General features: G+C 43.6%; 1 protein-coding gene across 4 annotated transcripts in view; it reads right to left on the reverse strand.

Annotated features, from left to right (window-relative positions):
- Nucleotides 6019-24237, reverse strand: part of LAMP3 (lysosomal associated membrane protein 3) — a 41599-nt gene continuing 23380 nt past the window's right edge. The window contains exons 5-6 of one of the 4 annotated variants that reach the window (NM_014398.4): nucleotides 19521-19691; nucleotides 6019-8018 (exon numbers count right to left, since the gene is read on the reverse strand). In NM_014398.4, the coding sequence (NP_055213.2) occupies nucleotides 7885-8018; nucleotides 19521-19691 (305 nt within the window). In that variant the 3' untranslated portion in view covers nucleotides 6019-7884. Of the gene's footprint in view, nucleotides 8019-10587; nucleotides 16761-19520; nucleotides 19692-22234; nucleotides 22263-23501; nucleotides 23608-24237 lie in introns of those variants that run through there. The other 3 variants (XM_005247360.6, XM_047447967.1, XM_011512688.3) reach the window with 3 other exon arrangements.

Consider the following 24237-nt stretch of genomic DNA (forward strand, 5'->3'; position numbering starts at 1 on the left):
GACTGCACCCGCTGTTCCCCTGCCCATGCGCACTGACTGCACCCGCTGTTCCCCTGCCGGTGCAGACTGGCTGCACCTGCTGTTCCCCTACCCGTGCGCACTGGCTGCACCTGCTGTTCCCCTGCCCGTGAGGACTGGCTGCACCTGCTTTTCCCCTGCCCGTGCGGACTGGCTGCGCCTGCTATTCCCCTGCCCTTGCGGACTGGCTGCGCCTGCTGTTTCCCTGCCCGTGCGCACTGACTGCGCCTGCTGTTCCCCTGCCCGTGCGGACTGGCTGCACCTACTGTTCCCCTGCCCGTGCGCACTGGCTGCACTTGCTGAAACCCTGCTAACCCCAATTTCCCGATTCTCCTGCCTCAATCAGGCCCAGCATGTGTTCAGCTGCATTTTCATACTAGTTCTCAGCCTGGCAAGGAGGAGAAGAGGTGAGGCAACTCCTGAGGGGTCACCTCTTGCCTTGTGAGAGAGGCTTCAGTAGCATCTTCCAGAAAACTGATGTGCTAGCACGAAGTAGGGAAGGCTGGGCTACATCTGAAATCCCAGAGGCTCTGGGCTTTTGCAGAGTCAAATATCACTGGCGGAATCCATCTCAGTGCCCCTGAGCTATGGTTCAGGATCCCGGATTTCCCCACCAGGGCCCTGCACTTTGTATACCAGACCTGCCTGCACCAGACACTCAAATCTCTTTGAGGCTCTGTAGACTTGCAATTTTTTTTTTTTTTTTTGAAACAGGGTCTTGCCCTGTCACCCAGGCTGGAGTGCAGTGGTGAGATTACTGCTCACTGCAGCCTTGATCTCCTGGGCTCAAGCTATCCTCCCACCGCAGCCTCCCGAATATCTGGGACCACAGGTGAGCACCACCATGCCCAGCTAATTTTTTAACTTTTTGTAGAGACAGGAGTCTCTCTATGTTGCTCACGCTGGTCTCAATCTCCTGGGCTCAAGCAATCCTCCCACCTGAGCCACTCAAGGTGCTGGTATTACAGGCATGCGCCATCAAGCCCAGCTTGCAATTAGATTTTTGACCAGCTGTTCAAAACCGAGTCTGTCTTGCCACTGCGGAAGATAATGCCTGTTTTGTAAGCTGCTCCCAAGGCTCTCCTACTCTCATATTTGGTGATTCACTGCTTGTTAACAGCCCTCAGTCTGTTATTCCCCTGCAGGGCCATCAACACAATTTAGTAGGACAGCCCATTCTGCTGTCTTGGTAGGCATTGTTCTCCCATATTGTTAAATGCTTGTGAAATCACACCTGCTACAGCATTCCCCTCCAAAAGCATCTTTTCTCAGGTCACCACCAATGAAATCGTTAGCAACTGAGCTGCCACCCAGGTCCAGGAACTATCTGCGTCCACCTATCAACCAGGACAGTATCCCCTCATCTGCTGGGTGATGGGTGAGCCAGTTCCAAATCCCCTTCCTACTGCCTCTTTTCTTGGGGCACTTTCAGCACCACTTACGTTAGTCTGGGACTTTAAAGAAAAAGATGCCAAGATGGGATTAACCATGCCAGACTTTATCAGGTGAAAAGTCTGTGGGAGAAAATGGTGAGGGAGCCAAGGTGCTGGAGAGTTTTCAGACCATGATGCCAGCTTGAACTTGCATGAAGGAGAAAGGGAAAGAGCACTGGGCAGAAGCATTTCTGCCGTGCAGTCTGGGGAAGTTCTGGCAGTTGAGAAGTTCTCAAGCCAAAGTCAGCTGTCAGATGAGGACAATGTGTCCCGGGAATGGTTTCACCTTAGTATCCCTGCATGCTCAGTCATTGTCTGGGAGCTGCCTGTGGAAGATGCTTGTGGCTTTGGGGCAAACGTGGCAATAGCTCTCTCTCTTTTTTTTTGAGATGGAGTCTCGCTCTGTCACCCAGGCTGGAGTGCAGTGGCACTATCTTGCCTCACTGCAACCTCCGCCTGCCAGGTTCAAGCAATTCTCCTGCCTCAGCCTACTGAGTAGCTGGGATTACAGGTGTGCACCACCATGCCTGGCTGACTTTTTTTTTTTGAGACAGTCTCACTCTGTTGTCAGGCTGGAGTGCAGTGGCACTATCTTGGCTCACTGCAACCTCCGCCTCCTGGTTTCAAGAGATTTTCCTGCCCCAGCCTCCCGAGTAGCTGGGACTACAGGTGTGCACCACCACACCCAGCTAATTTTTTTATTTTTAGTAGAGACGGGGTTTCCCCATGTTGGCCAGGATAGTCTCGATCTCTTGACCTTGCGATCCACCCGCCTCCGCCTCCAAAAGTGCTGGGATTACAGGTGTGAGCCACCGCGCCCAGCCGGTAATGTCTTTTAAAACTGTCCAATTAAAAGTGTCCATCCAATAGCTAGTGAAGCTACAGAGGCAGGTGAGTATAGAACAAGCTTATAATCAGAGCTATCTTAACAGGAAGTGTGGGTAGGGACTCCTGGCAGGTGGTGAGAATAGATGGAGGCCAGGAGATCCTGCTGCCTTGAAAGATTCCTCTTGCTAATCTTGTGCTCAGGCCTAAAACCTCACACATAAAACTTTATGCCTTTGTTTTGTTGTCGATGTTGAGACAGAGTCTCACTCTGTCACCCAGGCTGGAGTGCAGTGGCGCTATCTCAACTCACTGTAACCTCCGCTCCCTGGGTTCAAGCAATTCTCATGCCCCAGACTCCCGAATAGATGGGACTACAGGTGCGTGTCACCATGCCCAGCCAATTTTTGTATTTTTAGTGGAGATGGGGTTTTGCCATATTGGCCAGGCTGATCTCGAACTCCTGGCCTCAAATGATCTGCTTCCCTTGGCCTCCCAAAGTGCTGGGATTACAGGTGTGAGCCATTGCACTTAGTCGAAGCTTTATGCCTTTGGATTAAGGTAATGTCTTTTGACAAAATGCACGTGGCCTTGGGAGGGATAAAAGACGACTCCACAATGGGTTACTAACACATGATAATGAGCCAGGATTGGTGCTTCATGCCTGTAATCCCAGCATTTTGGGAGGCAGAGGTGAGTGGATCATTTGAGCCCAGAAATTTAGACCAGCTGGCGCAACATAGCAAGACCACGTATCTACAAAAAAAAAAATTAAAAATTAGCTGGGTGTGATAGCACGCACCTGTAGTCCCAGCTACCTTCGAGGCTGAGGTGGGAGGATCGCTGGAGCCTGGGAAGTTGAAGCTACTGTAAGCCGTGATCACACCACTGCATTCCAGCCTGGGTGACAGAGCGAGACCCTGTCTCAAAATAAAATAAAATAAAATAAAAAATTTAAAAAATGGCTGTGCACGGTGGCTCGACCCTGTAATCCCAGCACTTTGGGAGGCTGAGGAGGGTGGATCACCTGAGGTCAGGAGTTTGAGACTACCCTGGCCAACATGGTGAAACCCCGTCTCTACTAAAAATACAAAAATTAGCTGGCCATGGTGGTGCACACCTGTAATCCCAGCTACTCAGGAGGCTGAGGCAGGAGAATTGCTTGAACCCAGGAGACAGAGGTTGCAGTGAGCCGAGATTGTGCCGTTGTACTCCAGCCTGGGTGACAGAGTGAGACTCCGTTTAAAAAAAAAATGGAATTGAGTGAGTGAATAACATTGTTGGGGTCAGCCAAAGCATGTTGGGGTGGGGTGGTGGGGCTGGTGGAGGTATGAGGAAGTTAGAAGAATACATGAGCACTTAAGAAGAAAGTTTGCCAGGACAGCATGAGGGAATATCTGGAAAGCAAAAGAGATTTTATAATTTTGATAACAGAATTTATTTCACAATTTTATCTTTAGTCAATCTTGGTCTTAATATAAAACTAGTTAAGTTAAAAACAAAATAAAACATCTCTTTTTTTTTTTTTTTTTTTTTTTTTTTTTGAGACAGAGTCTCACTCTGTTGCCCAGGCTGGAGGGCAGTCCTACGATCTTGGCTCACTGCAACCTCACCTCCCAGGTTCAAATGATTCTCCTGCCTCAGCCTCCCAGACAGCTGGGATTACAGGTGCCCACCACCATGCCTGGCTAATTTTTATATTTTTAGCAGAGATGGGGTTTCACAACATTGGCCAGGCTGGTCTCAAACTCCTGACCTCAGGTGATCCAACTGCCTCAGCCTCCCAAAGTGCTAGGGTTACAGGTGTGAGCCATGGCACCTGGCCTAAACATCTCTTATTTATGCCTGCCAACACTTGACCAAAATTGGCATCTCTTGGAGGCACTAAGGTGGGGTGAAGGGACTTGTTGATGAGCGAGGGGCTGGAGTATTATAAAATGAAACTCTTTTTTCATTGGCAGAGATTCTTCTTCCATTCTTTTTATAGTTTATATTCCTTTTACTTAGTGGGCAGAGGGAAACCTCACAGCAAATCATCCTAGAGAACCAAGACCCGGGTCAGGAAGGAGTGGCTCATGTATTTGTGTCCTCAGACCTTCTTGGCCTTCAAGCTTAGAGCCCCAAACAGGAGTCCAGAGGGGGGATCTAGGACCTTACAAAGCAAGAAAAGTGTGAGAAGAACAAAGGTGGGGCAGATTGGGTAGGGGCTGGAGCCATCCTGGCTACTTTCTTTTAGGAAGGTGAAGCCGTGACGTCAGTGCTGTAGACCAATGGGTCAACACCAGACCCTGTGGTCAATGGACCTTCATCACCAGGGATTGGGAGGCTGTGCTCCTGAGGAGGTGCTACACCTGGGGCAGGGTTGGAAGCAGGCTGGAAAGGGCCTTGCTCTCATCATCCCTTGTATATGTTCCTATTAATCCACTTATCTTAGTATATATACTGGAATTTATTTACTGAAGTTCCCTCCAAAAAGTAAACCACGAATTCCACAATGTTCACCTTGACAGTAGGCACCTGAGGTAGGCAGCATCCACGCTGCCTCCAGGGGTTCCTCCCTCTCCCGGCGCTGTGGTTGGAAGGTGTCCCCCAAACCATATGTTGGAAACTTAATCTACAATGCAACAGTGTTGAGAAGCGGGACCTTTAAGAGGCAGTGGGGTCATGATGGCTCTGCCCTCGTGGATGGATTAATGCTATTATTACAAGTGTGGGGCCCCCTCTTGCTCTCTCTTCTGTGTCCTCGCACCATGTGATGCCTTTTACCATGTTACAAGGCAGCAAGAAGATGCACATCAGATTTGGCCCTTCCATCTTGGACTTCCCAGGCTCCAGAACCATGACCAAATCAACTTCTATTGCTTGTAAGTTATCAAAAAATCTGTGGTATTCTGTGATAATGGCACAGAATGGACTAAAATCTGATATTCGAGCCCTTGTGTAGTCCCCTTCCACAGTGTACCAGAGATGGTTTGTGTGAACCATAAACAGACATGCGATAGTATGTTTCTTCTGTGATTAGGTTATAAAAATATGACGGCTTTCATCTTGGTCAGTCTCTCTCTCTCTCTTTTTTTTTGAGATGGAGTCTCGCTCTGTCGCCCAGGCTGGAGTGCAGTGGCATGATCTCGGCTCACTGCAACCTCTGTCTCCCGGGATCAAGCGATTCTTCTGCCTCAGCCTCCCGAGTAGCTGGGACTACAGGTGCACACCACCATGCCCAGCTAATTTGTTTGTACTTTTAGTAGAGACGGAGTTTCACCATATTGGCCAGGTTGGTCTCAAACTCCTGACCTCGTGACCTGACTGCCTCGGCCTCCCAAAGTGCTGGGATTACAGGTGTCAGCCACCGCTCCCAGCCCTCTCTCTCTTTCTCTCAGATCACTATGGGTAACTAATATAGGACCTCTTATTTATCTCAGCTCCTACAAGAGTATCTGGCATTTAGCAAATCCTTATCAATGCTGATCAAATGAATGAATGAACAAACGTGGCGACATTTAAGCAAACTAGTAATGCAGTCAGTCTAAGCTAAGAGTTGAGACATTTCATATGTAACTTTAATGTGGTTTATCTTCTCAGGAATTCCTACCAAGTGATAATGTGGCAATGGAGAATAGAATGAAACAAATTATAGAAAGATGATTTAACTTATTGATCGGAGCAAAAACCTAAGATGATTGTAAACAAAATTTATACAGCACAAAAATGAATCATAAAAAATAAATGACATGCACAAATCTCCAAAGTAAGTTTTTATTACAAAAACCTTTACTACAATTCAATGTTTTATTAAGACTAAAGTCAGGACCTTGCCAACTTACTGAGTCATAAGGAAACACATGAGGAAAGTCAACATGGTCTCTAGGCTGACTTGAATTATTCCTTGACTAAGAATTCTAGGGTTATGTGGACTTTTCTGTTAACATCCTGACTTAGTTCCTTTCTTTAGCAGCAAAAAAAACAGCAGAAATAAAATTCTTGGCAGGCTGCTCTACAGAATAAAGTGAACAATAGGAAATATGGATATGAAGTGCAGAAGCAGCAAGTTACCACAAGATGGGGCTATACACTCAAGAAAGAACAGTTGGTTAGCGAAGTTTCTCTATTATCAAAAAAATTTAAAAATACTTTGAGTTTATTTGATGCCTTCATCTTTACAGCCCAGCTAAGCAATCCCATAAAAATGAGCAACTGACTAATGTTTTACAAAGCCCCTCAGTCTCCTTCCAGAGAGTGGAGGATTTATTAAGGATAGGCTATTTTGTTATCTGCAAAGCTCTCCTTTCATCTACCCTAATGTCTCATGATCCTGGATAAACCCATTTCCCTGTAAGGTGAGCGTATGCTGGTATGAGGTGTGAGCCTTCAGGCAGAGTGTGGTGTCATTGTTCTTGTAGGTAACTTGGTGTAGGGAGAAGACCAAAGACCTTGATGTCAGACCAACATGAATTCAAGCTCTGGCTCTGCCATCAGTTAGCCAGGTGACATTTAAGTGATTCAGTTCCCTTAAGTCTCAGTTTACTCATTCACCTATAAGTTGTGAGAATGAAATGAGATATAGATAAAGTGCTTAGCCTAGACTCTGGCACTTTGTTAATAATTAAGGGCCATTATTATTGTCTCTTGCTTATTGTTTAGTTCTACCATCTGTAGCCACCTAATTCTTAGTCTAGCGATTCTGGAGCAGGAGTCATCAAGATAAAAAATATAAGCTGATTTGTTCTTTTTGTTGGTTTTACATAAAAACACTTAGACAACCTGAGATATGTTGTTCTTTTTGATGATTAAAAAAAACATTTAAGGCCGGGCGCAATGGCTCATGCCTGTAATCCCAGCACTTTGGGAGGCTGAGGTGGGTGGATCACCTGAGGTCAAGAGTTCAAGACCAGTCTGGCCAACATGGTGAAACCCCGTCTATAATAAAAATACAAAAATTAGCCAGGCGTGGTAGTGTGTGCCTGTAATCCCAGCTACTCGGGAAGCTGAAGCAGGAGAATCACTTGAACCCGGGAGGCGGAGGTTGCCATAAGCCGAGATCGTGCCACTGTACTCCAGCCTGGGTGACAAGAGTGAAACTCCGTCTCAAAAAACAAAAACAAATTTAAAGTGGAAAAGGAGTTAAGTGCTACACCAGGAATATGTATGTTACATGAAACCATAAAACACAGATAGTAAAAGCACTGAAAGTCCATTTGATAACAAAGCAAAGGCTTTGTTAAGATCAAGGGTAAAATAAAATCTTCAATGCACACACAGTAGTATTAGTTACAATTGACCCTTGGTTTATAATTTGAAGGCTTATTCTACTTTACATATATTATGTTAATTCAACATATCTCAAATGTTGACTTTGAGTGGCTAAAATATTCTAAAGGAAACTAGAAAATAAACAGCTCACTATATCTTTCATAAAATAAACAAAAAGTATTTAGAAATTGATGTGCTGCCTGAACTTAAATCACACATGACTCACTTCATTTGAATAGAAGATGGTGGTTTACATTGTTTGAAGGACCCACACTCTGAGGGAATTTCCCAACATCCATCCTGGAAGGGATGAAAGAGTTCTCTAAATTCCATTATTTTCATTCCCCCCGGGCAACAATTAGATTCTCTGGTATCCAGATGATTGACACCTTAGGCGGATTTTATAGACACCCATACCCATAAGGCAGAGACCAACCACGATGGCCCCAATCACAGGAAGCACAATTGTGTAGTCAGACGAGCACTCATCCACTAAGAGAGAAAACAAATACAATACAGTGGGTAAGGTTTGGTGATGCAGTCCAGAAAGCAGGCTAGAGGGGAAAGAAGATGAGCTTTGGCATCAAACAAAGCTTGACTTTTAACTCCACCATTAACTAGCTTTGTGACCTTGGGCAGGTAATTTACCCTTGCAATTTCCTAATTTATAAAGTAAGCAAATAATATGTAAGACTGTCAGAAGATTAAATAACCATATTTTCTTAGTAATTAACATTCAATAATCATAATCCTTATTTCCTGAACTGAGTAAGAAGTCACTCCAGGCATACTCCCTGCTAAGTGGGATATGCTTACATAAAAGAGACCAGCCGGGCACAGTGGCTCACGCCTGTAATCCCAGCACTTTGGGAGGCCGAGGCGGGCGGATCATCTGATGTCGTGAGTTTGAGACCAGCCTGACCAACATGGAGAAACCCCATCTCTACTAAGAATACAAAATTAGCCGGGCGTGGTGGCACATGCCTGTAATCCCAGCTACTCGGGAGGCTGAGGCAGGAGAATTGCTTGAACCCGGGAGGCAGAGGTTGCGGTGAGCCGAGATCACACCATTGCACTCCAGCCTGGGCAACAAGAGCGAAACTCCATCTCAAAAACAAACAAACAAACAAACAAAAAACATTTGTGTGACCAGTGACCAGATTACAGATGATCTCTTGAGAAACATGATTTTTATCCACTTTATAAAACATTTTTGTCACTCCTAAGGTTCTATTGTATTACTTTTAGCTAATATTAGAAAACAGACCAAATTATTTATGAGAGCTTAAAAGTGAGAGTTTACAAACTTATCAAGACTGTTTTTTCTTTATACCATTAGAAAACGCTTACTCAATTCATTTAATGTAATTGATTGGGTCAGAGACTAATAAATCTCAACCGAGGAAAGACGGAGGGGTCTGGGGTAAAAGGGGAAGTTGATAGAATACTCTAATGAAGAGACTGGGAGAAAAGAGCAAATAAATGAAGAACCATGTCTTAGTCATTATAGCTAAAAAGATACATGTGTGAGGTCATTGTACGAACTAACACTGAAATTATGTCCTGAACCAAGGATCACCATCAACCCAATTCAGTGTACCTGAGATCTGAGAAAAAAAGTATCAGAAGAGGTCAGAGAAGACAGAGTGGCAATTAATTAAAGATTCCAGGAAAAAGAAAATTTGGACAAGAAAGAAACTGTGATTGTAGTACACGATTTGGCTTGACAGCAGACAATATTTATAAAACTATAATAATGTGTGCCTTAATACCTTACTGATTTACCCAAAAATAGTTGTGTAACCACAAATCTTTATGTGCTATAGCAGGAAGTCTAAAATGGATCAATTAGGAACTATCATGATAAGCTTTTATTTTTTAGAGTTATGGAGATAGCAATCAGAAGAAATTGTTAAAATTAGTTAAAAGTATCTTGTATCTTGGGGCAGGGAGGCAGAGGGACAGAGAAATGTTGCTTTCCATGATAAGACCTTTTGGAGTACATGAAACTTTGTTACTTATATATGTTTCTCTTTTTTTGCAGCCTGGAACTCCTGACTTCAAGCCATCCTCCCACCTCATCCTCTTGGGACTAGGGGTGTGTGCTACCATGCTGGGCCAATTTTTTATTTTTTACAGATGGGGTCTTGCTATGTGGCCCAGGCTGGTTTCAAACTCCTGGGCTGAAGCAATCCTTGACTTCCCAAAGTGCTGGGATTACAGGCGTGAGCCACCACACTTGGCCTATATTTCTTAAACGAAAAAAGAACTTTGACAAGTTAAGGAATTAAAATGAGTGGGAAAAAATACAAAAAGTTAAAACAAAATGTAATGCACACACCTGTTGACCCAATAATTCTATCTCTAGGAAATTATCCCAAAGATATATTCATACACTATGCAAAGGTATATTACAGCACTGTCCATTTTATGAGACAATTTAAATATACGTAAAAACTAAAATAGTATTCAGACAATAGAAAATAATATAGCCATTAAAAAGAACGTGGTAGGTCTCGGTGTTCTGTAACAGAAGTTCCTTAAGCTCCGTGAAGTATCATGTGAACCCAAACCCATGTGCTTGTGGGTCCAGTGTGAAAAGATACACCAAAAACTGGCAGGAGGACTGGGAAGGAAGTGGAGGGCAACTTTTACTCTCTCTTGTTAAGCTATTAAATTATTTAACATTGTTTAAACATTTCTAAAATGCAAAAGAGTACACAAAGAAAAGAAGTGACTGATCCAATCACCCCATTTCTTCTATTTGAATCAATCACTATAAACCTTTTTGGGCATGTAGTTCCTCTGTGAATGTGTGTGTGTGTGTGTGTGTGTGTGTGTGCACACGTGTGCATGTGTGCAAACTCACGTGCATGCTTAAAGCAAAATCACTCTATTTTAAATAGTCTATTCTCATTATAAATAACTAAAATAATAGAGAAAAAGCACAAACAAAAAAGTAAAACCAATTACCCCAAGACCATCCACCAAGAAATGTCATTGCTAATATGGAGAAACATTATTTCAGGCCTCTTTCTTTAGAACTACAAGGATAGATAGGTTAGAAAAATAAATAGAAATACTTTTATTAAGATAGGATCATACAAGTACTATTTTATTACATTTGTTAATTTCAATTTTACTTGTGTTTAATAGGATAAAAGAACTTGAAGGAATTATCACAAACCAATGTTTCTTTGTCATGGGAAATATTGGTTCATAAAGGGTCCCTTTAGAGTTCTAAAAAGAGATTATGAAGTATGCATTAAACAATTATGAAATACATTAAGAGGTTATGAAATAAATTGGACTTGTGTTTACTAAACTTCGTTTCCAGTTTAAACATTATCTATTGATACTGTTTTGAAAGAGTAGCACTAACAGAGTCCCTTCCATCTCCCCTCTCTTCAACTCCCCCAATTTTTTTTTTGAGACAGGGTCTTGCTCTGTTGCCCAGGCTGGGGGGCAGTGGTGCGATCATAGCTCACTGAAGCCTCCAGCTCCTGAGGTCAGCCATCCTCCCACCTCAGCTTCTCAAGTAGCTAGTAGTACAGGCAAATGCCACCCCACTCAGCTACTTTTTAACTTTTTTGAAGAGATGGGGTCCTTACTATGTTGCTCAGGCTGGTCTTGAACTCCTGGCCTCAAGTGATCCTCCAACCTCGGCCTCCCAAAGTTTCAGGTGTGAGACACTGTGCCCAGACAACTCCAAATTTTGAATAGTTATGTCACTGTTTTTAACATTGTCTATGTTTTTTTTTTCTTTTTTAAAAAGTAAACTGATTTTATTGTGAAATTCTCATAGATGGAAAATTAAATCAAACATTTATTCTGTCCATTTCATTTTATAATAACCTTATCACTGATTTTTGTACCATGCATTTCAATGGCCTGTTAAATGAAAAATGTTTTAAAAACTTTTAATTTTTGATGTTTTTAGCTTAAATTTTTTCATTAAGAAGCCCACAGTGCCAGCAGCCGCCCCCCAAGCCCTGTGTGAACAACGTTTTGGTTGCTATTTCAACTTAAGGAAACAATCTTTGACCTTGATCCATTGTCCAGGTTTATGACACTTCAATTCTATTTGATAACTATCATTCCTGTAGTCTTTAAAATGTGTTCTGACTGGCTGGGCACGGTGGCTCACGCCTGTAATCCCAGCACTTTGGGAGGCTGAGGCAGGTGGATCTCAAGGTCAGGAGATCGAGACCATTCTGGCTAACACAGTGAAACCCCGTCTCTACTAAAAATATGAAAAATAAAATAAAATAAAAAAATAACCAGTTGTGGTGGCAGGCGCCTGTAGTCCCAGTTACTTGGGAGGCTGAGGCAGGAGAATGGCATGAACCTGGGAGGCGGAGCTTGCAATGAGCCGAGATCACGCCACTGCACTCCAGCGTGGGAGACAGAGCGACACTCCATCTCAAAAAAAAAAAAAAAAGTGTTCTGACGATTTAACACTGTCATATGATTTGAAAAGTCAAAATAATACAAGATGCTGTGCATTGAGAAGTTTCACTTCCACCCTTGCCCCTTCCTCTTAGTTCTCCCTGTCCCCATTAGATGATTCCTTTCCTTAGTTCTTGTTTATATTTCTGATGTTTCTTTGTGCAGCTAGAACAATAATGAATATACTATTATGCACTATGATTTTTTGATATAACATATTTTGGAACTCTTTCCTTAAACATACATAGCATCCTCATTCTTCTTGTAGCTGTATAGGATTCCATTGTGGGATGAATCACAGTTTTAAAATCTGGCCCCTATTGATGGACCCTTGGCTTGTTTTCATTTTTTTGCTATTATAAATAATGTTGTAATGAATAACCACGTACAAATATCATTTCATATATGTGAAGGTGTGTTTGTGTTCCCAGGCCCATAATTGTTTAGTATGTTTTATATATAAATGGATCAACATCCTCCCATCTCAGCCTTCCAAGTAGTTTGGGACTACAGTCATGTGCCACCACACCCAGCTAATTTTTGTATTTTTTGTAGAGATGGGGTTTCGCCATGTTGCCCAGGCTGGTCTTAAACTCCTGGGCTCAAGCAATCCTCCTGCCTCAGCCTCCCAAAGAGTTGGGATGATAGGTGTGAGCCACTAGGCCAGGCCTACTGTGACTTTTCTATTCCTGAAGGCTGTTTATTTCCTTGTTTATATTGCGACTCATTTCCTCTCTTGGTGAATTTCATTGTCAACAAATATTTTTTTATAAGGGCTTATTTGTGTTGCATCCTTTGAATTATTTCATGTTTAAGAATATCTGCCTGGCGACAGAGCAAGACTCTGTCTCAAAACAAACAAACAAACAAAAGAATATCTGCCTATTGTCTTTATACTTCATATTTTTGGGTCACACTGGGTCACACTTTCTTTTTCTTAGATCATTGTAGAAATTATTTGCTGGCTTTAAATGTTGTCAAGAAATTGGAGGTCAACTTTAACTTTCCCTTTTTATAGCTGATTTTATTTTATTTTCCATAAAGGCCTAAAGACTTCTTCATGTTTGAAGTTTTATAGCTTGTTTCCAATATGTCCCAGTGTAAAACTTTTGGTATCAATTCTTTTTTGGGACATGCTCTTTTAATCCCAACTTCAATTATTTATCTCAAGGAAATTTCCTTAAATCTTCAAATATATCTTCATTCTATTTTTGAGGTCTATACGTCAGAGGCACCAATTATACTTATGTTGGATGGGCTGAATAGCTTCTATATCTAGTAGCTTCCCTGTAATGCTTTAATCATAAGGTTTATCTGTATTACCTGTAATGATCTCAGTCATTCTCTCTATGAAAATAATATAATTTCCTCCCTATTTATTCTGCCTCTGACTGTTTCTATACATTATGCAGTGTATTGCTTTGACACTCATCTTGTTTTCTTACTCTTTCATTTTAACATCTTATCTTTAAACTCTGATTACCTGGAATTCACATTAAGTGATTCTCAGCATCAAGCAATTGTCAGGAATTTCTTTCTGTTCCTTGAATTATGTTTTCTTTGTATTTTACTATTTTCATTTCTAACTTTCTGTTATGGACTAAATTGTATCCCCTCCCTGCCCCCAAATTTACATGGTGAAGCCCTAACTTCCAGGACCACAGAACATGTATTAGGACACAGGGTCTTTCAAGAAGTCAGTAAGTTAAAATGAGGTCATTAGGGTGGGCCTCTATCCAATATGAATGGTATCCTTACACAAAGAGGACATATGGATACAGACAGGTACAGAGGGAAGACCACGTGAAGACACAGGCCATCTACAGCCAAGGAGAGAAGTTTCAGAAAAACCAATGCTGCTGAGACCTTGACCTTGAATTTCTAGCCTCCAGAACTGTGAGAATATACATTTCTGTTATTTAAGGCATCCAGACTGTGGTATGTTACTAAGACAGTCTTAGCAAACTAATACACCCTCACTCCTTTTTTTTTTTTTTTTTTTTTTGAGACGGAGTTTCGCTCTGTCACCCAGGCTGGAGTACAGTGGTGCCATCTTGGCTCACTGCAAGCTCTGCCTCCCGGGTTGACGCCATTCTCCTGCCTCAGCCTCCCGAGTAGCTGGGACTACATGCGCCTGCCACCACGCCTGGCTAATTTTTTGTGTTTTTAGTAGAAACGGGGTTTCACTATGTTAGCTAGGATGGTCTCGATCTCCTGACCTCATGATCCGCCCGCCTCGGCCTCCCAAAGTGCTGGGATTACAGGCGTGAGCCACCGTGCCTGGCCTCACTCCTTTTCTTAATTTAATTTCAAACTATTCTTATTTTGCTGCAGTATTTTGGCACAGTGGCCATGCAGTTTGTTTTCATCTTGCTCATGCTTGAGCGTGGCAGTCGAGATACTCCATTTCCTATGATGCCGTTTGGGTGAATTATGGTCTTTCTTTCCATTGCATCTGAGATCAGTTAATGTTTCCCTTTGGGTTAGATATTTGGATTCTATTCTCTTTTTTGTAGCATGGAAACTAGCTGCAGCCTGGAGCGATCGTCTGCTTTGGGGTTTCTTCCCCAGTTCACCTCCGTCTGTCCCTCCCTTTACTCTTCCCAGTCTTCCTGGGAGCCATTTTCACTACCCTAGGTTGGAAAACGAAGAAAATAAAGCAACCCACTCTTTTTTTTTTCCTCCAGGTTTAGTAATGGAGGAGTTCACAGAATTTTTTTCCCTCTCATCACAGGCTTCTTAGGGTGAATGTGTGTGTGGTTAGGAGGGGAGGCAGGTGAGGAGCCCAGCTCCACTGCCCCCTCTGCTCTCCACCTGGAAAGTGGGCAGGACTGTGAGTAAATTACACATCCAAGCGTTTATTTACTGGCCATTCCAATGAAACCTTTGCTTTTTGTGGTTACCAGAATGCTAATTCAAATTAATTCTAAAAATAATCAGTACTGGGGTCGGGGGAATAGATAGCAGGAGTCCAAGCAGTGGCCATCATCCAAAAGAACTCACTGAAGAAGGTAGGGAGGAAAATTAAATTTAAGTGGTCATATCCCTCTATACTTGATTTTAAATTCTGCTTCTTGTTTCATCTGCTAGGGGAGAAATTTCCACATGCTAGAAGGTAAATCTTACATTAATCATTCTGCAGAAGAGTGAGTGGCTGGTGAATAAACACCTTGTCCTCTGCCCTACAGAACTTTCGAGTGCCCTTAACACTGGACACAGGGGAGCCTGGAGCAGGTGCCAGTTTGAAGGAGGAGGTGGAAGGAGATCACAGCTCTCCAAAGCCAAGCTCTTGCTGTTAAGCCCGAGTCTCTTTGGGGAACTCCCGGGTCCTCATATCAGATTGTCATCAACATCTGTTTTAAGAGGGAAACAGACATTTTCTGACACTCTGGATGTCTTCAGGGGCTCTTAGTGCTCTTTTGAAGCTGCGGTGTGCCCTCCCCACAGCCCCAATTCTAAGAAAACAAGGAGAGCAAAAATGCCTCCTGGGAGAGTCAGTACATTTCCTAAGTAGGCAGTAGTTTTAGAGTTGTTGCCAAATTTCATAAATGTCATGTTAAAAATAATGAATGGCACCTCTGGAAAATTTGGAAAAACAAGAAAACTTCCAGTCAGTAGAATCAATTAAGAACATACCTCTCCTTTTTCTCTGAATGAAAAACCCCCATCAATGTAATAGGAAACCATGAATAACATCCTAAGCCATATTTTAATAGAATTTTTCCCTCAGATATCAACCGTCCCCCATCAGGAATGTACTGCTTTTGGTGAATGTTTGCGTAAAAGGGAAGTGAGTGATCCTCCAGGCAGGTCTACCTCTTCCTGCTTGCCATTCCATATTGTCTCCCTGCTCTGTCTCCCTCCTGTCCTGCAATGGTCCAAATGGACACATTTACAAGAATAAAATAACATCAAAGAAAAGCCGACAAACCCGGAAAAAAGTAGCTAAGAAGGCAGACAACACATGAAATTGAAGCAACTGAAGGGCTAACATTTATTGAGCCCCTCCTTTTTTGCCATGATCTTTGATATGTGCTTTAAATTAAAAAAGTGAAATAGGCAGTTTCCTAATTTTTTAAACTGATAATACATTACAATAGAGTAGGATATGTTTTTTTAAAATAATAGCATATTAAGATCATCTATAATTTAAGTAAACAAAATTTGGGTAAAATCCAGGAGTTTAAAATCATTTTGTAATCAACTTTGAAATGCATTGGTTTTTTTAAAGTAATGTTTTTAAAAACTGAAAATCAGGACTCTTGAAAATGTATAAGAAAAATCAGTCAATTTGTAAACGTCTTCCCCACAATTCTCCCTCCGGGTTTTCGCTTTCTCCCTTCTCACAAGCACCCCACTCATGTCTCTGCCTATTGCCCCTAATTCCGGAAGCCAGCACTGGTATATTCAGGTATGGCAGAGGGCATCAAGCACACCTGGCATGGCCTCCCCAAAGCAACAGGAGGAAGTAGGGGAGGTGCTGTTTCCCAGCACTGCGGTAGCCCTTTGGTGGAAAGTTAGGTTTCCTAATCAGCTCAGGAGGGTGCAACAGGCAACGAGACAGGTCAATCCTTTCACTTCAGGCTGAATATGATGCTGGAATTCCCAAGACCTTAACTTTGCACATTTTGAAGAAAGTGGGGCTTTACATGCGTTCATATCCTCTACTGGGCCTCTTTCTGGCCACCAGACATGCGGTTAGCAAAATGACAAGCAGTCCTGTGATACTCAGGCCCATGGCCACAGGGATTTCTCTCCTGTTTCTGTCACTGAAGCATTCATCCGCTGTAATTGAAGTCAGAGTAACAAGTGTTACAGACTGGCCACAAATGCTGGGAAGTGGCACTGCCACATCTGCCTCAGCTTTGGAGAAAAGAAGACAGAGGGGAAGATGGAGCTGTTGGGGCTCAGACAACAGTGGGTGAAAACGAGAGGGAAAGGGTCAATACAGTGGATCTGACACGTGTAGCACTGGTAATTAGTTAGGGAGCTTATTAAATTGCAGATGCCCAGACACATGCCCAAGAAATGATAATTCAGTGGGTCTGAGCTGAGGCCAGGGGAATTCTGATGCTGCTTCCAGGCAGATCCAACTTTGAGAAAATGCTAGTTTGGCCTAGAGGGTTGTGATCAGAGTTATGTCTTGACTCTCAAACTAGAGTAATTCCCGGAGCCATATTCTCCAACTCTAGTAATAGTTTGAGACAGAGTCTCACTGTGTCACCCAGGCCAGAATGCAGTGACACAATCTCGGCTCACTGCAACCTCCGCCTCCTGATTTCAAGTGATTTTTATCCCTCAGCCTCCCGAGTAGCTGGGATTACAGGCATGTACCACCATGCCGGGCTAGTTTTTTGTATGTTTAGTAGAGATGGGGTTTTGCTATGTTGGCCAGGCTGGTCTCATAGTCCTGGCCTCAAGTGATCCACCTGCCTTGGCCTCCCAAAGTGCTGGGATTACAGGAGTCAGCCAACACGCCCAGTCCTAACTCTGTGTTTCTTACAGGGGCTGCTCAGATAGCTTGGGGCTCCTAAATCAGCATAATAAACAGCAAAAGAAAAGGACAGCAAAAACCCTAAAACTCAATAAACAAAACACAATGTTTGCAGGCTCCAGGATTTTAGGGAGGAGGAGATTTTAGGAGTCAGGAGTCTACTGTTTGGGATGACCATTATCTTTTACAAGGCTCAGCTTTGACACTTGCTGGATTCCTCTCCAGTTCTTCGATCCCCTGTTTAAAAATCGCCTATCACTCAAGACTTCTTTAGTCCACCCTCTCATCACCAATGCTGTCAGTCACAACTTCCTCTGGGCTCCCATAACCCTTTGCACATGTGTCTTTTAAACACCATATAGTATGGTAACTTGCTCCTCTTTTCCCCCTTCTCTTACTCTCTAGTAGAAAATCCTATTTACAGAATGACATACCTCTTCACATTTGAGCATCTTTAGTGAAATTTGAAGTGCAAAGACTAAGAAGATGGCGTTGAGTTGATACGGTGACAGTGGGAGAACAAGGGGAACATTTTGGAAGTGGAATTGTTAGGGCTTTGTGACTATTTGTATGAGAGGGTGCTGGAGGGAGAGGAGTTAAGGAGAACTCTGAAGTCTGTTGTTTGGAAAACTATCCAGTTAATGATGGTTTTAAGAAAAAAAAAAATGTAAAGACAAGCGAGCTTTTCTATGCATCCCTGTGAACACTGGCGTGCACTGCTGAAACGTTTTATTTCCTACCTCTGCCACTAAGAAGTTTCCCAGACCTGATCACTTCCTGCTTCATAGAGGTTCTGAAGGGGAAGAAGAGCAAGTGTGTACCTTTTTTTAAGATCACACGATTACAGAAGTTTTTCAAACCTTCATAATGATTGTAAAAGAAAGAAATAGTTTTCCAACACTAGCATTTTTGAGAGTGGATGACAAATGGGGCCAACCTCTACTGGCAAATTCTCATATGACTGTGGGACTCCGACAAAGCCTACAGAAACCAGGGGACCCAAGGCAAGCAATGGCCAGTCCTTCCTCTGCCAAATGCTTCCCACTGAGTACATGAGGAGAAGTTTTCTGCTACACACATCTGCAATTTCATGATGGAACCCAAAGCAAAATCAGATTCATATTGTAGACATTTAAAATACGGCTAAACTTCTAGCTAAATCTATTTTTGATAACTGGGAAGTACTCATCACATTTTTTAGTTATTATGAGAGGGATGTTTTAGAAATTGAAGTACATGACCCTCCTGGTCATATGTAGAAATCCTCGTAACACTGTTTTCCTGGAAGGGAGAAGAGGGCTTTTTCTGGCATATGACTCTCCTGGTCATAGGCAGAAATCCTTATAACAATGTGTTCCTGGAAGGGAGAAGAGGGCTTTTCTGGAAAGTCACCCTGGTCTGCTCTTGGCCCTTGCCCAGGGACCTGTTTTCCTCCAGGGCAGTCATCAGGCAAGCTCTGCCTGTGATGGTCAGAACTCAAGGCAGAAGTTAGAGGGAAACTAAAACTGACTATGAGGAAACACTGTTGGGTGTGACAGCTTATAACTGGAGACGAGGGGCTCCAACAGCTTGTAATTGAGATGAGGGGGTCCAACAGAGTTTCCTTCTATTTTGAATTGCTGCATCTTGCTCTTTTCCCTCTGCAGGTGGGGAAGAAACTATTCTGAAATCTTGATTTCAGACATTACTGATACTCAGGATCTTTAAAGTGTTCTCCAAACATATCTGAATTTACACCCAACAGGACATAAAGGGAAGTCGCAGGTGGTATTTCTGTTGTTTTGATTGAGCGCGTGAGTGTTTAAATGAGTAAGAATGTGCGTGAGTCGAAGAGAGTGCAACCCGCTGCGGGACAGCCGTGACTGGGTGGGTGCAGGTGCCTGATTCTGAGGTGGCCAGAGGAGCCTGGCCCTGTGAGCTATGTGGAATCACACCATCCCAGGAAGCTCATGAGATGCTTGCTCCTTCGACAGCTGCAGACAGAAAACACTTTGGATCTACCCTGGGGTCTCTAAAGTGTATGTTTGCAACCTGATCGACCCTTAACTTACCATTTCCAAAGTGGTCATCTTCAAAATCAAAGGCTTGAAGTTGGACATCGGTTGTTTTCACCTGCAGGTGGGCTGACAACTGGAGGCTCTGTTCACTCACGCACTTGAAGGAATGCCCGACTGCTGTCTGGAACATCACCACCGCATGTTTGATTCCTTGGTAAATTGTCTCTGAAAAGGTGACAGATAGATGCATAAGAGTCCTGAGATGTAACCGCTGAGCTCCAGCTGTGGCCGGGCTGCCTGTGCACAGCTAAATGGCCTTCCTTCCTTCCGAGGGGCTTTCTGGGGGTTCTGCCACCTTCTCCCCATGAAAAAACACCCTGGTGCGGTTTGGAGACTTTTTCAGCTGCTCTGTTTGGGGTATAAGGGAGACACCTCACATAAACTGGAATGCGCAAATAATGAAATGAGAACTTTTGAGAATGTGTTCTTTGGTTACTTTAAATCATTGGGGACAGAGTGGGTGGGAACTAGTCAGTACTTGGGGGCTACAGAGAGGCGCCTCCAAAATTTTAGAGATAAAAGAAGATTGCTTTCTGAGACTTAGAAAGTCACAGAACCCTTAATGAATCAGTGAAGGGACATGCAGTCAGCAAATGCTTATCACCAGGCTGAATGTATTAGATGAGCAGGGTCAAGAACTCATTAGGGGCCAGGCGCGGTGGCTCACGCCTGTAATCCCAGCACTTTGGGAGGCCGAGGCGGTCAGATCACCTGAGGTCGGGAGTTCGAGACCAGCCTGACCAACATGGAGAAACCCCATCTCTACTAAGAATACAAAATTAGCTGGGCGCGGTGGCACATGCCTGTAATCCCAGCTACTCGGGAGGCTGAGGCAGGAGAATCGCTTGAACCCAGGAGGTGGAGGTTGTGTTGAGCCGAGATTGTGCCATTGCACTCCAGCCTGGGCAACAACAGTGAAACTCCGTTTCAGAAAAAAAAAAAAAAAAACAACTCATTAGGAGGGGTTGTTGCATCCATCCACAGAAACAGAGAGAAGGGAGAAGCCCATCTCTTCCCTTCTGATCGCCACCTGGGGAGAGAAACCTGCCTAAGGACTGGCCCTCTCTTATGAAAGGTACACCCTGTTCAAGGAAGTGGAGGCTTCCAGGCAGATGAAGTTAAACATTTTAATCATTGAGGCCAGGCATGGTGGCACACACCTGTGGTCCCAAGTACTTGGGAGGCTGAGGTGGGAGGATCATTTGAGCCCAGGAGTTCGAGGTTGCAGTGAGCTATGATCATGCCACCACACTCCAGCCTGGGACACAGAGCAAGAATGTCTCTAAAATAAATAAATAAATAAGTAGGCCGGGCATGGTGGTTGGTGGTTCATGCCTGTAATCCCAGCACTTTGGGAGGCTGAGGCAGGCAGATCACTTGAGGTCTGGAGTTTGAGACCAGCCTGGCCAATGTGGTGAAACCCTGCCTCTACTAAAAATACAAAAATTAGCCAGGCATGGAGGTGGGCACATGCAATCCCAGCTACTCAGGGAGGCTGAGGCAGGAGAATCTCTTGAATCCGAGGGGTGGAGGTTGCAGTAAGGTGAGATCGTGCCACTGCACTCCAGCCTGGGCAACAGAGCCATGCTCAGTCTCAAAAATAAATAAATAATAATAATAAAAGAAAAATAATTAATCATACAATGAACTCCATTTTCTCTAATTCCATGCTTGCTAAGCACCCTTCTGACTATACTGTAGCTTCTTGAATGGTAGAAATTTCACTGGCCAGAGGACCCAACTCTCTGGTCTGCTTAGTAGTTACAGTAAGGAATAGTCCCACGATGAATTAACAAGGTGGCATTAATGCCAGCGTCTGTACATGCAAATGCCCTATACAATGTACTGAATTCTCTGTGTACACTGCCGGGTCACGTGTTATATCCTGGGTAGTCTGCTACTACCATCCCCACTAACATTACAACTGTCACTACCGTAATTACAACTGATTACTATTCTTAATACCCCCACTAACATGAAAATCATCATTACTGTGACTCCTTGAGTTCCTGCTCAGCCATTAGGATCAAGACCTAGAATTGATTTTCCCACACCCTCAGCTTTAAATTAATTTTTGATCAGACTTCCCCTTCCCCCCACCTTTTTTTTTTTTTTGAGACAGAGTCTCACTCTGTCACCCAGGCTGGAGTGCAGTGGTGAGATCTTGGCTCACTGCAACCTCTGCCTCCCGGGTTCAAGCAATTCTCCTGCCTCAGACTCCTGAGTAGCTGGAATTATAGGTGCCCGCCACCATGCTGGGCTACTTTTTTTTATATTTCTAGTAGAGACAGGATTTTGCCATGTTGGCCAGGCTGGTCTTGAATCCCTGACCTGAGGTGATCTGCCCACCTCAGCCTCCCAAAGTGCTGGTATTACAGGCGTGAACCACTGCACCCGGACTCCCCTACCTCTTGAGAGATTTCTATTCTATTGCTGGCTAAAATCTGGTCCATATCTAGTGATAACATTAGCAAATTTATGTTAGCACTCACAATATTTATTCTCTATCCTAAGTGAGGAGACAGATCTAAGTGAATTAACATATATGAAAATGAGTTGTCAACTATGCTATCTTACTTACATTTAACAATCATTGGCAAATCCCCCTGAACATATCACTACAATGTAGCTGATATTTTAAGTAGACATTACTCCACATTTTCATTTCTTGGCAAGTTTCTTTGGCATAAATTCCTTAATTGGTAAAATAATGTTTAAGCTAGTCAAAGGATAGAGCTTTGAAAAGGGGAAAACAGACATGAAAACTCTTAGTACGGTACCTGGCACAGGGGGATACAAACAAATAAAGGTTATTTAACTTTCCAGGGAAACATTTGAGGCCTCTGAGAGACATCTTGTGTGAGTGGGAGCTTTGCTTCTCACACGAGAAGTGAATACTGTAGGAGTTCTCTGAATTTCCCCCACTACTCCACACAACAACCAAAGTGAACCTTTATAAATGTAAATCTGAGGTATCATTTTCTTCTCTCCCCTAGACCCCTCGGTGGCATCCTTTCACACTTTAGAATAAAGTCCAAAGTCCTGACCCTTGCCTTGCCACTGGCTCTGCATGCCCTGGCCTGGCTCTCTGTCCCTCGACCTCACCTGCTGCTTATTCTCTCTCCGGGCACACTGGCACTCTGCAGGTCCTTGAACACATTAGCCAGCTCACCCCTTAGGGCCTGTGCATCTGTTCTTCCTGCCATCTGGAAAGGGCTTCCCTAGGCCCAGATACCCCCAAAGAGCTGAATCTCTCTGCTCAAACTTCACGTCTTCAGAGAGGGCCTTTCTCCCCTGAAGGCTTCCCTAATGTCCCACCTAAAATAGCTTTCGATTCCTCTCCACTCCCCCTGCTTGTGTTTGTTCATAGAATTTATCACTACTGGGCCAGGTGCAGTGGTTCACACCTATAATCCCAGCACTTTGGGAGGCCAAGGTGCGTGGATCACTTGAGGTCAGGTGTTTGAAACCAGCCTGACCAACGTGGAGAAACCCCGTCTCTACTAAAAATACAAAAATTAGCCAGGCGTGGTGACAGGTGCCTGTAATCCCAGCTACTGAGAAGCCTGATGCAGGAGAATCGCTTGAATCTGGGAGGCAGAGATTGCAGTGAGCTGAGACCAAGCCACTGTACTCCAGCCTGGGCGACAGAGCGAGACTGTCTCAAAAAAAAAAAAAAAAAAGAACTTATCACTACTTAACAGAGCACAGGAGTCCCCCTTATCCTTGGGGGATACAACCCAAGACCCCCAGTGTACCAGTGTATGCCTGAAGCCATGGATAGTACTGAACTCTAGATATACTGTTTTTTCCTGCATATACATATATACCTGTGATGAAGTTTAATGTATAAACTGGTCACAGTAAGATATTACAAACAATAACTAATGATAACATAGAAAAATTGTCACACTACAAAAAAGTGATGTGCATGTGAGCTCTCTCTCTCAGAAACTCTAATTGTACTGTACTCACCTGTTTTTGCACCAACCATGAAAAGTGAAACCGCGAATAAGGTCGGGGGGCAGTACTGTATTATCATTTAATGTGTTGTTGTCCTCTTCCTCTTCTAGAATGTAAACTTCATGAGGGTAAGAACTATTAGTTTGAAAAATTATGGATCCCCAGTGCCTAATACAGGGCTTGGCACCTAGCAGGCACTAACTACATTTTAGTAGAATGAATGTATGATTCCCAGAGTATAGAATAAGCTGCACTATCGACAGCAAATCTGTCAAAAAGCCACTAAACTCTTTATTGTTGCCAATCATGATCTCTGACGTAATCTAGTCCAGCCTCCTTTATGAGCAGATGGGCAAATTACAGCACACAGAGGCGTAGTAAAGTCCCCCAAAATCACATTGCTGGCTGCTTTCTCAGTCTGTTCCTTAGAAGCAGCATCGGCCGGGTGCAGTGGCTCACGCCTGTAATCCCAGCACTGTGTGAGACTGAGGTGGGTGGATCGCCTGAGGTCAGGAGTTTGAGACCAGTCTCGCCAATGTGGTGAAATCCCATCTCTACTAAAAATACAAAAATTAGCTGGGTGTGGTGGCACACGCCTGTAATCCCAGCTACTTGGGAGGCTGAGACAAGATAATCGCTTGAACACGGGAGGCAGAGGTTGCAGGGAGCCGAGCGAGATCGTGCCACTACACTCCAGCCTGGGAAACAGAGCAAGACTCCATCTCAAAAAAAAAAAAAAAAAAAAAAA

The sequence above is a fragment of the Homo sapiens genome, chromosome 3, assembly GCF_000001405.40.
Source record: "Homo sapiens chromosome 3, GRCh38.p14 Primary Assembly".
NCBI lineage: Eukaryota > Metazoa > Chordata > Mammalia > Primates > Hominidae > Homo > Homo sapiens.